The 17139-nt window shown below is 41.4% G+C and overlaps 1 protein-coding gene across 2 annotated transcripts in view; it reads left to right on the forward strand.

Moving 5' to 3' along the window:
* The window catches only part of EP300 (EP300 lysine acetyltransferase), an 87486-nt gene that overhangs the window by 35849 nt on the left and 34498 nt on the right, over nucleotides 1-17139 (forward strand). For both annotated transcript variants that reach the window (NM_001429.4, NM_001362843.2), the window contains exons 5-10: nucleotides 1450-1563; nucleotides 2948-3193; nucleotides 7373-7466; nucleotides 9213-9350; nucleotides 11700-11817; nucleotides 12608-12782. In NM_001429.4, the coding sequence (NP_001420.2) occupies nucleotides 1450-1563; nucleotides 2948-3193; nucleotides 7373-7466; nucleotides 9213-9350; nucleotides 11700-11817; nucleotides 12608-12782 (885 nt within the window). The remainder of the gene's footprint in view (nucleotides 1-1449; nucleotides 1564-2947; nucleotides 3194-7372; nucleotides 7467-9212; nucleotides 9351-11699; nucleotides 11818-12607; nucleotides 12783-17139) is intronic.

The raw sequence follows: 17139 nt of genomic DNA on the forward strand, positions 1-17139 counted from the left end.
ATAGAACCAAACCCTGTTTCAAAAAAAAAACAGTGTACATATGTGTAATTTTTTAAAATTATTTTATTTTATTTATTTGTTTTTTGAGACAGAGTCTCGCTCTGTTTCCCAGGCTGGAGTGTGGTGGCACAATCTCGGCTCACTGCAAACTCCACCTTCCAGGTTCATGCCATTCTCCCGCCTCAGCCTCCCAAGTAACTGGGACTACAGGCAGGCGCCTACCACCATGCCCGGCTAATTTTTTGTATTTTTAGTGGAGACGGGGTTTTACCGTGTTGGCCAGGATCGTCTCAATCTCCTGACCTTGTGGTCCACCCGCCTTGGCCTCCCAAAGTGTTAGGATTACAGGCGTGAGCCACCACGCTTGGCCAATATGTGCAATTTAAAAAATATTTATACCCCAAAGCATTTAGAAAATTCCATTGTCTAAATGCATCATCACAGTTAACTCACTCGGTAAAGGTCGTCTTGGCTGCGTCCATTCTGTGGCAATTACGAATAAAGCTGCCATAAACAAAATCAATTTTGAGACTCCTTTACTGATAGTGACGTTATTTTAGGAAATGATAAAAACACAGTTTTTTTTTTGAGATGGAGTCTCGCTCTGTCGCCCAGGCTGGAGTGCAGTGGTGTGATCTCAGCTCACCGCAAGCTCCGCCTCCTGGGTTCATGCCATTCTCCTGCCTCAGCCTCCCGAGTAGATGGGACTACAGGCGCCCGCCACCATGGCGGCTAATTTTTTTTGTATTTTTGGTAGAGACGGGGTTTCACTGTGTTAGCCAGGATGGTCTCTATCTCCTGACCTCGTGATCCGCCCGCCTCGGCCTCCCAAAGTGCTGGAATTACAGGCGTGAGCCACCGCGCCCGGCCAAAACACACTATCGTTTTTGTGAGCAAGTATCTAAGGATGTGAGAAGAGAATAAATTTTAAAGGTCTTCCCATGTGGTGATCCTCATAGACTTTGATTTTTATTTGCCCTAGCATAGCATACTTTAAATGTTATTGAGGGTTTGCTAACTGTCATGTAGGCAAGTGTTCAATTTAATACAATTTACTGCAGTCATTTTTACCCGATCTAATACAATTTGTATGAAGTCATTAAAAAGTGTTCTTATAGGCATGTGTGTCATAACATTGGTTTAGAGTACATTTGCTTAGAATAAAGTAGGTTGTGTATAGCATGGTGAAAAATGAGGGCTCTTAAGCCAGACTGCTTGAGGTTGAATCTCACTTTGAGTACTCTGTGACTTTGTGCAAATTGCTTACCCATTCTTTTTGCCTTTCTTGACTGTGAATTCTGAGTATTAATAGGAGCTACCTTATAGGGCTGTTAGGAAGATGAAATAAGTTAATGCATTTATGTTACTTATTAAGTGGTCAACAAGTTAGCTATTATTAATGTAAAAACATTAACCTGCTCTTGAAAAAATATGTTTTCTTCTCTTTAGTGGCACACTGTGCATCTTCTCGACAAATCATTTCACACTGGAAGAATTGTACAAGACATGATTGTCCTGTGTGTCTCCCCCTCAAAAATGCTGGTGATAAGAGAAATCAACAGCGTAAGTGATGAAATCTTTTGAAGGTTTATATGAAAAGTTTTAAAGTCTCACCAGTGCCATTTATAGTACTACTTGATTATGTGAGGGACCTGTGGTGTTGTACTATGTTGAATAAATGTTTTTTTCCCTTTTAATTTTTCTGCTTCCCTAGTGCATAGAATTGAACTGCTTAGGGAGTTTGAGGCTGCAGTGAGCTATGGTCATGTTACTGCGCTCCAGCCTGAGTGATGGAGTGAGAACCTGCCTCAATTAAAAAAAAAAAAAAAAGAAAGAAAAAACAGTGCAGTGGCTCATGCCTGTCATCCCAACAGTTTTGGAAGCCAAGGCAAGAGGATTCCCAGGAGTTCAAGACCAGCCTAGGCAACTTAGCAAGACCTTGTATCTTCCAAAAACTTTAAAAATTAGTTGTGTGTGGTGTGCCTGGCTGAGATGAGAGGATTGCTTGAATCCAGGAGGTGGAGGCTGTAGTGAGCTATGATTGTGGCACAGCAGTCCAGCCTGGGTGACACAAGGATACCCTGTCTTTAAAAAAAACAAAACAAAACAAAACAAAAAAAACAACTGAACACTGCTTAACATCCAAAATAAGATCCAGGAACTCTCAATACTTATTATTTATACAAACAGCAATAGGTAAATTTATGTTCTGCTTTGAACCTATGAAAATTTAAAGACCGTTGCTTTGGCATTGGGCAAGTTATTCTTTTATACTATACTTGTGATCTAAACGTTCCAGGTACTTGGAAATTATTTTAAAAAGAAAAAATATGAGATTATTTTTATAATATTGGGATATAGAAGAGCTTTTTTTTTTTAAGAGAAAAGACGAGATTAACACTTTAAAATTGTAACTACCACATCTCTATAGCAACAAAAATTTAAGCTTTTAGGGTTAAAGGACAAATTTGGGAAGTATTGTACAGCATTTGAAAATGGAATTAAATTTTATAACAAGAATTGGGAATAGAAAATAGACAATTCACCAGAGACGGGAGGAGAGAGGGGAACTCCCAATATAATTCACTATTAAGAAGAGAAATAAGGTATCGTTTCTCTCCTGTAGTGTAGGCAGAAATGATGCTGCCGGGTGTTGGCAGTTGAATGGCTCCAAAGCATTCATACAGTGTTGGTCGGAACATTAATAAAGCCCTTTGGGAAGGCTATTGGGCATTCAGAATCAAAAGCCTTTTATACCAGTGGTCCCCTTTACCAATCAGTTCTGCATCTAGAAATTTCTTCCAGGAAATAATGGAAGACAAGATCCACATACTCAGATGTTTCATAATCACGTAACAATAATTTTGTGGGGTTTTTTATTAGACATGTTAGTCTTTTTTTTCTCACCAGCATTAATTTGTAATACTATATCTTTTGTCTTCTCTAGCAATTTTGACTGGAGCACCCGTTGGACTTGGAAATCCTAGCTCTCTAGGGGTGGGTCAACAGTCTGCCCCCAACCTAAGCACTGTTAGTCAGATTGATCCCAGCTCCATAGAAAGAGCCTATGCAGCTCTTGGACTACCCTATCAAGTAAATCAGATGCCGACACAACCCCAGGTGCAAGCAAAGAACCAGCAGAATCAGCAGCCTGGGCAGTCTCCCCAAGGCATGCGGCCCATGAGCAACATGAGTAAGTTTGTGTCATCCTAATAACATGGTATTGGTTGTGTCAGTAAATGACATCTATAAACACAGTGTTGTTAGCTCCTTTTTATTTTTTCTGCTACATGATTTTTTAAGTAATTTTTTAAAGATTACAGTGTAAAAGGTCCCTTACAGTTCATCTACGAGAGGTAACTGCCACTGGTTTGTATCTTCCTTGATCCTTTTTTGCATTATATGAGTTCAGATTTGCAGAAATGAGATCCCATATGTTATTCCACAACAAACTTTGATTAATACTGTGTAGACGGGCCGGGCATGGTGGCTAACACCTGTAATCCCAGCACATTGGGAGGCCAAGGTGGGTGGATCACAAGGTCAGGAGTTTGAGACCAGCCTGACCAACATAGTGAAACCCCGTCTCTACTAAAAATACAAAAATTAGTAGGGTGTGGTGGTGCGTGCCTGTAATCCTAGCTACACGAGAGGCTGAGACAGGAGAATGGCTTGAACCTGGGAGGCAGAGGTTGCAGTGAGCTGAGATTGAGCCATTGCACTCCAGCCTGGGTGACAGAGCAAGACTCCATCTCAAAAAAAAAAAAAATACTATGTAGACATCTTTCATAGTCAGTATTCCATGTATCATTTTAAATGGTTGTATAGTATGTCATTCTTTCATTCTTTTTTTTTTTTTTTTTTTTGAGATGGAGTCTCGCTCTGTTGTCAGGCTGGAATGCAGTGGCACGATCTCGGCTCACTGCAACCTCTGCCTCCCGGGTTCAAGCGAATCTCCTGCCTTAGCCTCCTGAGTAGCTGGGACTACAGGCGCGTGCCACCATGCCCAGCTAATTTTTGTATTTTTAGTAGAGGTGGGGTTTTCACCATGTTGGCCATGATGATCTCAATCTCTTGACCTCGTGATCCACCCACCTGGGCCTCCCAAAATGCTGGGATTACAGGCGTGAGCTACTGCACCCGGCCCAACAATCTCTTACAGATGGACATTGAGATCTCCAATTATTCTGCTGCTTTAAACTATACAACAGAAATTGTGTTTTGACTTGAGGCATTTTGGGCTGAAACATATAGAAATGAGTGTAGTTGGTAATGATTTCCTCATGTCTGGCAGGAGGAATAGTGTGCCTTTTCAAATAGTTTTTTTGTGACTTGTTTGCCTCACTTCCTGTTTTATGACTGAGAGGGAAGAGGGAGAAGTGTTCCAGTATCCTAATTTGGGGATATATATGTTTCTCTGATTGCATATGATAACATTGGAAGAATTGTTCTAATATCTTAATTTTGGGATATGTATGTTTCTCTAATTGCATATGATAAAATCAAACAGCTTTTTTCTGTGTCTATCCCTCTGCTGTCAAGCAGTTCAAATATCTAAGCTATTTTGTTTGAGTAGTTAGACATCCAGCATTGTAGAGACCAGGTCTTGTCCAGGTTGGTCTTGAACTCCTGGTCTTAAGCAATCCTCCTGCCTTGGCCTCCCAGAGTGCTGGGATTACAGGCATGAGCCACCGCACCTGGCCTAAGATTATCCCCCCCCCCACCCCCACCCCGGAAACAGAGTCTCGCTGTGTCACCGAGGCTGGAGTACAGTGGCACGATCTTGGCTCACTGCAACTTCCGCCTCCTGGGTTCAAGCAGTTCTTCCTGCCTCAGCCTCCCAAATAGCTGGGATTAGAGGCACCTGCCACCACACCCAGCTAATTTTTTTTTTGGAACGAAGTTTTGCCATGTTGGCCAGGCTGGTCTTGAACTCCTGACCTCAGGTGATCTGCCTGCCTCAACCTCCCAAAGTGCTGTGATTACAGACATGAACCACTGTGCCTGACCCTCTAAGATTATTTTTTAATACAGATTGAGTATCCCTTTTCCTAAATGCTTGAAAGCAGAGTACTTTAGATTTTTTTCGGAGTTTGGAATGTTTATATTTGCTGGTTGAGTTGAGAATCCCAAATCCAAAAATCAAAATGCTGCATTGAGCATTTCCCTTGAATATCATTCACAAAGTTTTGGATTTCTGTATTTGGGATGCCAACCAACCCATACTGCTATTTTTTACTTTCTTCCTATTTTCCACTGCTGTGTTCTGTTGCTCCCATTTTTGGTTTTTGAATTAATCTTCAGGACATTTTTTTCTTTCTGTTTTTCTTTACTATATAATAACAGTATTTTCAAACCAGTGATCTGCTTTTAAGCACATGTTGAGCCACTGTGCAGTAAAGTTTAATGCTCCTGTTTTCAAAACTGTTGAACAACTGTTTTGTCAGAAACTGAAAGTTATGAGAGTGAAATGCAAACATTTTTAGACCCATCAATTTTGATTTTGACTTTTAATAATTTAAGATCTAAAATGCTAGATAGTGACATGGAGCTTCTTGTATTCAAGTTTGTAAGTCAGATTTTGCAGTCACTGGCATGACTATTTTAGACAGTTGTGCTAATGCTCATTGTACCAGACCATTTCTATTTTAATATTCTTTAGATTCTTCATTCCTGCCCTGTTGTTATTGTTTATTACTTGGTCTGTTGATTTCATTCTTTTCTTTTTTTTTTTTTTTTTTCTGATTTCATTCTTGAAAGTAGTATTTTCAAGGAGGATGTTTTTCTTGAGTTTTACCTAATCAGGGACTTAGATAAGTTTTCTTAGATAAATTATGGATAACTAGAAACGTACGTGTGTGTTTGAGTTTGGTCTCGCTGTGTGCATGTGTGTTTTTGAGACTGGGTCTGATAACTGGAAACGTACGTGTGTGTGTGTGTGAGATTGGTCTCACTGTGTGTGTATGTGTGTGTTTGAGACTGGGTCTCGCTGTGTCACCCAGGCTGGAGTGCAGTAGTGCGATCTTGGCCTGCATCCTCTGCCTCCTGGGCTCAAGCGGTACTCCCACCTCAGCCTCCCAAGTAGCTGGGACCACATACGTGCACCACCACGCCTGGCTAATTTTTGTATGTTTTGTAGAGACAGGGTTTCGCCATGTGGCCCAGGCTGGTCTTGAACTCCTGAGCTCAAGTGATCGCCTGCCTCGACCTCCCAAAGCAGTTTGTGTTTTTCGTTACTTCCATGACAACCAGTACTAACTAGTTAAATAATTATTGAGTGACGAGTTTTTAAGCAGGACTAGGAAAAGGGATGAGGAGCAATCTTGCCTTTTCAGGCTTCCTTTTACCTCTTCTGTATTGAAAATAACATGTACAGCGGTAATGGAAAGTTGGACCTGGACACTAGCATATTTTCCCCTCTTGTTTTATATCTTCTGTCTTGGAATGAGCATTGCTTTTTTCTTTCTTTCTTTCTTTTTCTTTTTGAGACAACATCTCACTCTGTCGCCCAGGCTGGAGTGTAGTGGCGCCATCTCGGCTCACTGCAACCTCCGCCTCCTGGGTTCAAGCGATGCTCCTGCCTCAGCCTCCAAGAGTAGCTGGGACTAGGCGCACACCACCACCTTTTTGTGTTTTCTTTTAGTAGAGACAGGGTTTCACCACATTGGCCAGGCTGGTCTTGAACTGCTGACTTCGTGATCCGCCCACCTCGGCCTCCCAAAGTGCTGGGATTACAGGACGCCCAGCCAGCATTGCTTTTTTATCTCCCATTCCATGTTACGCAGAATGCACTTACCTTTTTCCTTAAGTTTTAGTAGGTTGTTGTCTTCCCCTGGCCTGGAATTTCATTACTGTAATTGGGTAGTTCCCTTTTGTTTTTCAAAGTTATGTTTATAGTTCCTATTATAGCTCTTTTCCTCTCATTATATTATCTTGCCTATGTACTTTTATATATATGCACAATTATTTGAATGATAATTTTGGGGGATTTTTGCCCCCATTTCTTCGTGTCTTTTTATTTAGAATTAGATTTAAGATTACTCAAGTTCCCTTTGTTTTTATTTCTTCTGGTCTCCTGAAGTGCTGAGATTACAGGCGTGAGCCTCTGCGCCTGGTCACATTTGCTTTTTTTTTTTAAGTTATGTTTCGTTTTCTATGATTTACTGTTGGGTGCTTCATCTTTTTCTTACCTGTTTGTAAGGGTGCTTCAAATCAGCCTTTACATATGTGTTGCCAGTTATATTGTCAATTATTTATTGTATATGCTGCAAATTTTTTTTCTGATTTGTCATTTGTTTCTTAACTTTATAGTATTTATTGTATGGTGGCTGTTGTATTTATTTCTGTCTCCTGTTATTTCATTTTGACTTAGGTGCTAGTCCTATGGGAGTAAATGGAGGTGTAGGAGTTCAAACGCCGAGTCTTCTTTCTGACTCAATGTTGCATTCAGCCATAAATTCTCAAAAGTAAGTCTTAACGTGATTTATACCCTGGGTCACATTACAAATACTACTGGTTAACAATTCATTGTTTGACTTTTGAACTTAGTTTCCTCGGTTTGAGGATGTCTTTGAATACAGATAGATGTTTGAGTCCATTCTTTCTTTTTTCGCTCTGTAGCCCAGGCTAGAGTGCAGTGGCATGATCTCAGCTCACTGCAACCTCTGCCTCCTGGTTCTGGTTAAAGCAATTCTCCTGCCTCAGCCTCCTGAGTAGCTGGGATTACAGGAACACACCACCATGCCCAGCTAATTTTTGTACTTTTGGTAGAGACAGGGTTTCACTGTGTTGGCCAGGCTGTTCTTGAACTCCTGACCTCGCGATCCGTCTGCCTCAGTCTCCCGAAGTGCTGGGATTGCAGGCGTGAGCCACCACGCCTAGCCCACTCTTTCTTCTTTCTACAGCCTTAATCGAAATTGTATTGATTTTCTAGTGTAGCCTACACCTTCCCTAATACAGTAGGATGTTGCAAGGTTACAGCTCCATAATAGCCTTATCCTGATGTTAAGAATTAGTCCACCAGCCTGGGCAATATGTCAAGACGTCTTCTCTACAAGAAAATACAAAAAAGTTAACGGGGCATGGTGGCGTGCACCTGTAGTCCCAGCTACTGATGAGGCTGAGGTGGGAGGAGCACTTGAGGCTGGGAGGTCGAGGCTCTGGTGAGCCGTGATTACACCACTGCACCCTAGTCTGGGTGACAGCGAGACTGTGTCTCAAAAGATAAAAATTATTATTTTAAAAAGAGAGGTAGTCCATCATCCAAAGCATTCCCTGAGGTGAGCTGTGTTAAAATGACAGCTTAGTCTGATAACACAAGCCTTAGAAAACTAAGTATGGGCCGAGCATGGCAGCTCCCCTGTAATCCCAGCACTTTGGGAGGCCGAGGCAGGCAGATTGCTTGATCTTAGAAGCTCAAGACCAGCCTGGGCAACATGGCGAAATCCTGTCTCTGCTAGAAATAAGAAAATTAGCCGGGCATGGTGGCATCCACCTGTAATCCCAGCTACTCAGGAGGCTGAGGCAGGAGAATCGCTTGAACCCCGGAGGCAGAGGTTGCAGTGAGCTGAGATCATGCCACTGCACTCCAGCCTGGGTGACAGAGCGACACGCCATCTCAAGAAGGAAAAAAAAATGGCTGGGCTCAGTGGCTCACGCCTGTAATCTCAGCACTTTGGGAGGCCCAGGTGGGTGGATCACTTGAGGTCAGGAGTTTGAGACCAGCCTAGCCAACATGATGAAACCCCATCTCTACTAAAATACAAAATTAGCCGGACGTGGTGGCGGGTGCCTGTAATCCCACCAACTCAAGAGGCTGAGGCAGGAGAATCGCTTGAACCCAGAAGGCAGAGATTGCAGTGATCTGGGATTGCACCACTACAGTCCAGCCTGGGCAACAGAGCAAGACTTTGTCTCAAAAAAAAAAAAAAAAAAAAGGCATTACAGACAAAACCCAGAAAATGAAGTCTTATGATATCTTGTGTTAGGACATCATCCTGCCCTCCAAAGAAATACAACTTACCCTCACACAGGTATGAACATGCACAGTTTAAAATCAGTCTAGTCACACACTTCTCCCTGCCTAGCTCCTTAATGCGAATAGAAGTGACATAGCATATTGATTCCATTACAATAATCAGTGTCAGCTTGAATTAAATGAGGTCTTCTCCTACCTTTCTTCACTAAAACTATTTGGTGACCCCTTTTTGAAGCCCAATGATGAGTGAAAATGCCAGTGTGCCCTCCCTGGGTCCTATGCCAACAGCAGCTCAACCATCCACTACTGGAATTCGGAAACAGTGGCACGAAGATATTACTCAGGATCTTCGAAATCATCTTGTTCACAAACTGTAAGTAAGATTGTGGACACGTCTCATTCGTAAAGAGATGTTACGTCAACATGTTTTCAATCTCCTGGGCATTTAATTACTAAAGGAATATTAGCAATTTTTCTGTAGCATGGAGGTTGATGTTGATACTTCTACTCTTGTGGATTTCTTGCTGCTGCTGCTTTTTTCCTTCTCAACCTTTCCCACCATCATCTATGGTAGTCTTTCAGCTTTAATGGTATGTGAACTATTCTGTCTAGTGACAGTAAATAATATATTAAACATTGTTTTTAGCTATTGCCTTTGCAAAACTTATATATCTAAGAAAAACTAGGCCTCAGCTCATTAAAATATTGCATTGATAACATCCTTTTCTGTTACTCCTGGTAGAGCAGGGGTTTTTTGTTTGTTTGAGATGGAGTCTCACTCTGTTGCCCAGGCTGGAGTGCAGTGGCACGATCTTGGTTCACTGCAGACTTCGCCTCCCAGGTGCCAGTGATTCTCCTGTCTCAGCCGCCCAGGTAGCTGGGACTACAGGCACGTGCCACCTCACCTGGCTAATTTTTGTATTTTTAGTAGAGACGGGGTTTCACTGTGTTGGTCACGCTGACTTCAAATTCCTGACATCAAGTGATCCGCCTGCCTCAGCTTCCCAAAGTGCTAGGATTACAGGTGTGAGCCACCACGCCTGTCCTGGTAGAGCTTTTATTATGTAAAAATCTGGTAGGGTGGACTCTCTGGTCTTCTCGTCCTCCAGATGTGCACATGGCAGTTTATTTTTGAGAAGTTGATATATTTCAGGCACTCTCCCCTTACGAACTCCATCTTAATCTAAAGAGTTTTTGTCAGATGAAGGAGGGGGAGGCATATAGAGCAAGGTAATGAAATGTGCTCAGCATCATAAAAAGGTAGAGCTTGGACCTTGCCAATTACAGAGTTTACCCTTCAAACACCATGCAGTATTTTTTCTTGGAGAAGTCTTTTCATTTCACTTTCAGTTAATAGCAGGGTCGTCTTTACTGTATCCATATTTTTTAATTGACTGAGGAACTATTTATCATTTTGTCTTAATTTATTTTTATGTTATGTCAAACTACCAATTATATACGTTTCATTTAGGAATTTTTTTTTCCTCCCACGAACCCATGCTTGCTAATCATTTAGGATTCTTTGTTTGTTTGTTTTTGTTTTTGTTTTTGAGACTGAGTCTTTCTCTGTCGCCCAGGCTGGAGTGCAGTGTCGTGATCTCGGCTGGCTACTGCAACCTCCCGTCTCCTGGGTTCAAGCGTTTCTCCTGTCTCATCCTCCCAAGTAGCTGGGGTTACAGGTGTTTGCCACCACACCTGGCTGATATTTGTATTTTTAGTAGAGATGGGGTTTCGCCGTGTTGGCCAGGCTGGTCTCGAACTCCTGACCTCAGGTGATCCACCTGCCTTGGCCTCCCAAAGGGCTGGGATTATAGGCGTTGAGCCACTGTGTCCAGCCAGGAATTCTTCAGTGGTAGCACTAAGTAACGGAATTTGACAAGGAAAGAACTTCACAAGTTTAATGAAATTATTCCTTTAATAAAGAATAACCGATCTCTTATTTTGTGACAGACTATTCAGGAACTTTTATTTAATGGACAGAGATGATTATTTGGGGTTGATCATTTGACTTTACGTTAAAAGTTTATTATATATGCTCGAGTTTTCTACCAACTTGGTATTATTCTGGACTTCCATTTATATCTTCTTGATCTGGTTCCTTCAAGTCCTATGCAACTGAGTACGGGATGTCCAAATAAAATTAGTGCCTAAAGATCACATTTGTCAGTCATAAGAGATACTAGTGCAAAACATTTTGTTAGGGAATTGCATGAAAGTGAAAAACTGAATCTAACAGAATCATTACGCATTTCTGGTCTGTCCACTTCAGGTTTTTGGTTTTTTGTTTGTTTTTTATAAGCCTTTGTCAGAACAGTTCAAGTTTTTGATGTTTTAACATTTTAGAGTGGTTACTGAATTTTATTTCAGTAAGCTAAATAATAAATTTAGAAGAGCAGATGGAACTCTGAAGGCTACTTGATACTATGACAAGGCCTGTTTTCCTCACTGTCTTTAGTATGTAACCCAAAGTAATATTTTGCTTTATGTCTAGAGTAACAGGGACCAAAGAGTATTTTTTATAGAGTCATTTCTTATATTGTGAACGGAAATATAGACAAAAATTCTTTTGTTTATCACAAAAAGATAATTTCATTTCAGTAAGTAATATATATCACCTTGCCATTATTTTTTCTTTTCCTCTATGTGTTCAGTGTATAAAAATCAGAAAAATACTAATTAAATGCTGACATGATATTACAGTGGTAGGATTTTCTTTTTCCAGCGTCCAAGCCATATTTCCTACGCCGGATCCTGCTGCTTTAAAAGACAGACGGATGGAAAACCTAGTTGCATATGCTCGGAAAGTTGAAGGGGACATGTATGAATCTGCAAACAATCGAGTGAGTGTCTGGTTTTTTTCTATTAATAGCCAAGATTGAACCTGTTGTGGTTATTTTATTCCTCTTTAGCATGTACAAGTAGTACATATGCTTCAGACGGGGGACACGCTGTAGCTATCCCGTCTTATTGTCCCCAAGCATAGTTAGGATACCAAAGCAGTTTCTTAAGTGTATGTCATCAAGAATCTTATGTTTTTCCTCCTAATACAGTGCACTCATGTGGCACTTTATCTGGTTGTCCTGTCAACCTAAAAAGTGGCTGAGCTGGCCGAGTGCAGTGGCTCGGTGCCTGTAATCCCAGCAGTTTGAAAGTCTGAGGTGGGCGGATCACTTGAGCCTAGGAGTTGGAGACCAGCCCGGGCAACATAGCAAAACCCCATCTCTACAAAAAATTAGCCAGGCATGGTGGCACGTGCCTGTTGTCCCAGCTGCTCAAAAGGCTGAGGTGGGGGAATCACCAGAGCCTTGGAAGTCAAGCTGCAGTGATTCGGGATTGCGCTGCTGGTGACAGAGGGAGACCTTGTCTCTCTCAAAAACAGGAGTGGGGTGGTGCTGAGCTGTTACCAGCTGTGTTCTCTTTTCACTAGAATATAATGAAGTAGCGACTTAACTGTTGTTCACGGTAGTTCAGATTCTCTACATAAGTTGAACTTTCCTTTCTAAATTGGCACCAGTTCTTAATGCAGCATATAAAATGAAACTAATATCTATTCTCAGTTTATTTTTTCTGTTACCTGGTGGTAGTTCCTTTTTTCCTCATCTCCCTTATTTTACTTCAACAATTCAAAAGGCGGAATACTACCACCTTCTAGCTGAGAAAATCTATAAGATCCAGAAAGAACTAGAAGAAAAACGAAGGACCAGACTACAGAAGCAGAACATGCTACCAAATGCTGCAGGCATGGTTCCAGTTTCCATGAATCCAGGGCCTAACATGGGACAGCCGCAACCAGGAATGACTTCTAGTAAGTGGTTTTTGTTATATTTCTGTTTGAGAGAAATTGATAATAAAATAGTTTCTATCTAAAGTCATTAATTTCTGTAAGCTTGTGTAACTATTCTAGAGTTTTTTAAATAACCATTTGCCTTTGCAAAGAAAATAACTCATCTACTAGTAAAAACAGAAGCAGAACAAGTATATTTAAGATGTCTGGGCATGGTACTTAACATACCTTGATAATCTGGAATTGTTTTTAGAGCCCAAGGTGTAAACTTCTCTAATAGTGACATCTAGAAAGCAATAGCCTACATACAGATGTTCACAGATTTCTCTGAGACTGGCTTGTGTGGTAAGTAGCCAGTAAATGTTTGTAGGCTGACCAGGTTCAGGAGCCCTGTAACACACATAATATCATATTACACTGTCACACTTTCTACTTGACATAAAATATTCTAAGTCTAGGAACTCTTTTTTTTTTTTTCTTTTTCTTTTTTTTTGAGGCAGAGTCTCACTCCGTCACCCAGGCTGGAGTACGGTGGCATGATCTTGGATCACTGCAGCCTCCGCCTCCCAGGTTCAAGCAATTCTCCCACCTCAGCCTTCCGAGTAGCTGGGATTACAGGCACATGCCACCACGCCTGTCTAATTTTTGTATTTTTCGTAGAGACAGGGTTTTGCCATGTTGGCCTAGCTGATCTCAAACTCCTGGCCTCAAATGATCCGCCCACCTTGGCATCCCAAAGTACTAGGATTACAGGCATGAGCCACCACTCCCTGCCTAGAAGCATCATTTAAAATTACATTTTGACAGCTTCAGTTTCTGATTATAGCATCATTGTTGACCTGATGAATTAACCAGATAGCCAAGACTATGATAAATAGTCTTACTCAATCGTTGACTTATTGGTACGATCAAAGTAGTGAAATATGGAGCAGGCACACCATTTTCAGGAATGGCACAGGCTGTAAGTGCTGTGAGCAAGGCTGTGATAGGAAAAACCTGCATTTACTGAGTTAGGAAATGCTAATGACCTCTAAGAAGTGCCAACTGAGCCAGCGGGCAGTAAACCTCATACGATCAGTAGATTATAGGTGGGCTGAGAAGTTCATCTCTTTCATTCATTGAAGTAGTAAAGTAGAGAACCATTGGTTACCACTGGCCTTTAGCAGCCTCATTTGCTAACTGAAGTGTGCCAGGTACTGTTTTGTAATGTGTAAAAAGTTGGGAGGAGCAACATTGCTGAGGAAATAGTATACATGGAGGCTGCCCAATAGTAAGGAAAAACACAGATTTTTTGAGTAGTTAGAACAAATTTTCAGGAATGAAAAAGTCAAGATTAGAGTTGAGACTGCTTCAGTACATGATTTGGACTTGAGTAGTAACTAAAGATTAAAAAAAGTAGACAGGCTGGGTGCGGTGGTTCATGCCTGTACTCCCAGCACTTTGGGAGGCCGAGGCGGGTAGATCATGACGTCAGGAGATGGAGACCATCCTGGCTAACACGGTGAAACCCCATCTCTACTAAAAATACAAAACAATTAGCCGGGCATGGTGGCGGGCACCTGTAGTCCCAGCTACTCAAGAGGCTGAGGCAGGAGAACAGTGTGAACCCGGGAGGCGGAGCTTGCAGTGAGCCGAGATTGTGCCTCTGCACTCCAGCCTGGGCAACAGAGCGAGACTCTGTCTCAAAAAAAAAACAAGTGGACATACCTGAGATACTTGGTTTTGGTAGAATTTACTCAAGTTCTGGGTGAAGTTCTGAGCCAAGTTTAAAGTCTGTGAGATATTAAATTGTATTCTAATGTCAGTATAAACAGTATGGTACTGATGTAAGCAGGAATAAGTGGTAGTGGAACTGAGTATCAGCCTTAAGTATATGTTGACCTTTAGCTCGTACTAAATCTGACATTTTGTAGAATGAGATTCTTACCTTAACCTGATACACAGAAAATAATAGAAGCATAAAAGTGGTCGGGCATGGTGGTGGCTCACGCCTGTAATCCCAGCTCTTTGGGAGGCTGAGGCTGCAGATCACTTGAGCTTAGGAGTTCAGAACCAGCCTGGGCAACATGGTGAAACTCTGTCTCTATAAAAAATACAAAAATTAGCCAGGCATGGAGGTGTGTGCCTGTAGTCCCAGCTACTCAGGAGGATGAGGCAGGAACATCACTTGAGCCCAGGAGGTCAAGGCTGCAGTGAGCTGTGATTGTGCCACTGCACTTAAGCCTGGACAACAGAGTGAGATCCTGTCTTTAAATAAATAAATAAGGTTTGTAAACTTTGAAAAAACAAAATTGAAAGAACTACGTAGAATGTTGAAGAAAACATAACATTCTCATCTTCATGTTTCTTTAACATTTGTTTTTTTGTTGTTGGTTTTGTTTTTGTTTTTTTTTTGAAACAGTCTCTCTTTGTCACTCAGGCTGAAGTGCAGTGGCACCATCTAAGCTCACTGCAACCTCTGCCTCCCAGATTCAGTTGATTCTTGTACCTCAGCATCCCCAGCAGCTGGAATTACAGGCATGCATCACCACACCTAACTAATGTTTTGTATTTTCAGTAGAGACAGGGTTTCACACCATGTTGGCCAACCTAGTCTCGAACTCCCGGCCTCAAGTGATCCGCGTACCTTGGTCTTGCAAAGTGCTGGGATTACAGGCTTGAGCCATCACACCTGGCCACGTTTGATTTTTTTGTTTTAATACAAAGAATACAGTTATTATAGAATCAGAGAGTGGCAATGGCAGGACTATGTGTATTGGCCTAAAAATATGCCCATAGTAAACTTATGTAACGTGTACCATCTTGAAAAAATAATCCCGGTTGTTAATGGAGTTGAAGGTAGGTAACTCTTTCCTTATTAATTTTTTGCAAAGATACGAAGTTTCAGGAAAAGCTGATGACAGAAGTATGCATGTTATAGTCTGAGTTTTTTTAAGTGTGGCATATGCCCTAGAAAAAGTTCTGGAAGAAGTAAATACTAATCTCTGAACATGGGCTTCTGATGGGGGCAGTGGAATTCCAGGATACTTGTGTTGTGTGATAAAGGGTTTTTGATTATTTGACTTAATGCATATAGTTTGCATTAAGGGCATATATATTGAAATGTGAAAGATGGACATTTTTGTTTGTGTATATTTTCTTTACCTCTAAATATTTATATATATACATTTTTGAGATGGGGTCTGTTTCGCCCAGCCTGGAGTGCAGTGGTGTGATCTCGGCTCACTGCATCCTCCATGCCTCCCAAGCTCAAGCAATCCTCCCACTTCAGCCCCCCAAGTAGCTGGGACCACAGGCACACGCCACCATGCCTGGCTAATTTTTTTTTATTTTTTAGTAGAAACAGGGTTTCTGTATGTTGCCCAGACTAGTCTCGAACTCCTGAGCTCAAGATATCCACCCACCTCGGCCTCCCAAAATGCTGAAATTACAGGTGTGACCCACTGCGCCCAGCCTTTAAATATTTATCTTAAAAAATAGTATCAAGATGTTCCTTTAAATAATTCATCAAGTTTCCTTAAAATGACAAGAGCTGCCTCATGGAGCAATAATAGATACATTCGTATCTGCATCATATGGGGCAAATGTGGGCAGTAGGATTGCGGTTTTATTTTTAAACCATTTTCATTTGATTAGTCTCAAATACTTAAAAATCAGAAGATTTTGCATTTAAAAAGTCTGAATTTCTGGCTGCTTTAAAAAAAAAAGGACATGTCTGGCAGACTTGACCCCCTTTCTCCTACAGTGACACCTGTCTATAGCTGCACTCATGGCTGACTCTAGAAGAGCTGTGTTTTCTCTCCACTTCAGTCCTCACCATTCTCTATTGTTTTGGGTACTTAAAACAGTTTTACTTGGTATTAGCTGCTTGGCACTTGCCATTTAGCTTGGAACACCTATCCATATTGTTGACTTGAAAAAAAAGTTACTCATATCTTAGGTGAAAACATTGTTTTGTAGATAGTGTGCGTGAATACAGATATGTGTGGGGAGGAAGAGGAAAGGTTTATCTCAAGGTCATTTGTTGGATCCTGATTCATTTTTCTATTGATTTTTAATTTTTATGTAATGAGCATGGATTATGCATATACTTCTTATAAAGCTTGCAGAGTTACAGATAAAAGTTTATATGAATAAATGTTGAGCATTTCCTCTCTCAGTTTTGCTCATTTACTAAAGGTTGAAATTTGTCTGAAGGGATGGACATCTCCTTAGAAGAGCAGCAGGTCTTCCTCTCCTATGCCTGAGGCTTGAATGTACAGCCCTTGATGGAGGGTATGGCCAGGGTGGAGCCAGGTCACTACAGACATCTGTCCTTTCCGAGGGTGCTGTAAAAATATTTTCTCTGTGCACTATGTTGAAAGTACTACACTAGAGC

The sequence above is a fragment of the Homo sapiens genome, chromosome 22 (genome assembly GCF_000001405.40).
Source record: "Homo sapiens chromosome 22, GRCh38.p14 Primary Assembly".
Taxonomy (NCBI): Eukaryota; Metazoa; Chordata; class Mammalia; order Primates; family Hominidae; genus Homo; species Homo sapiens.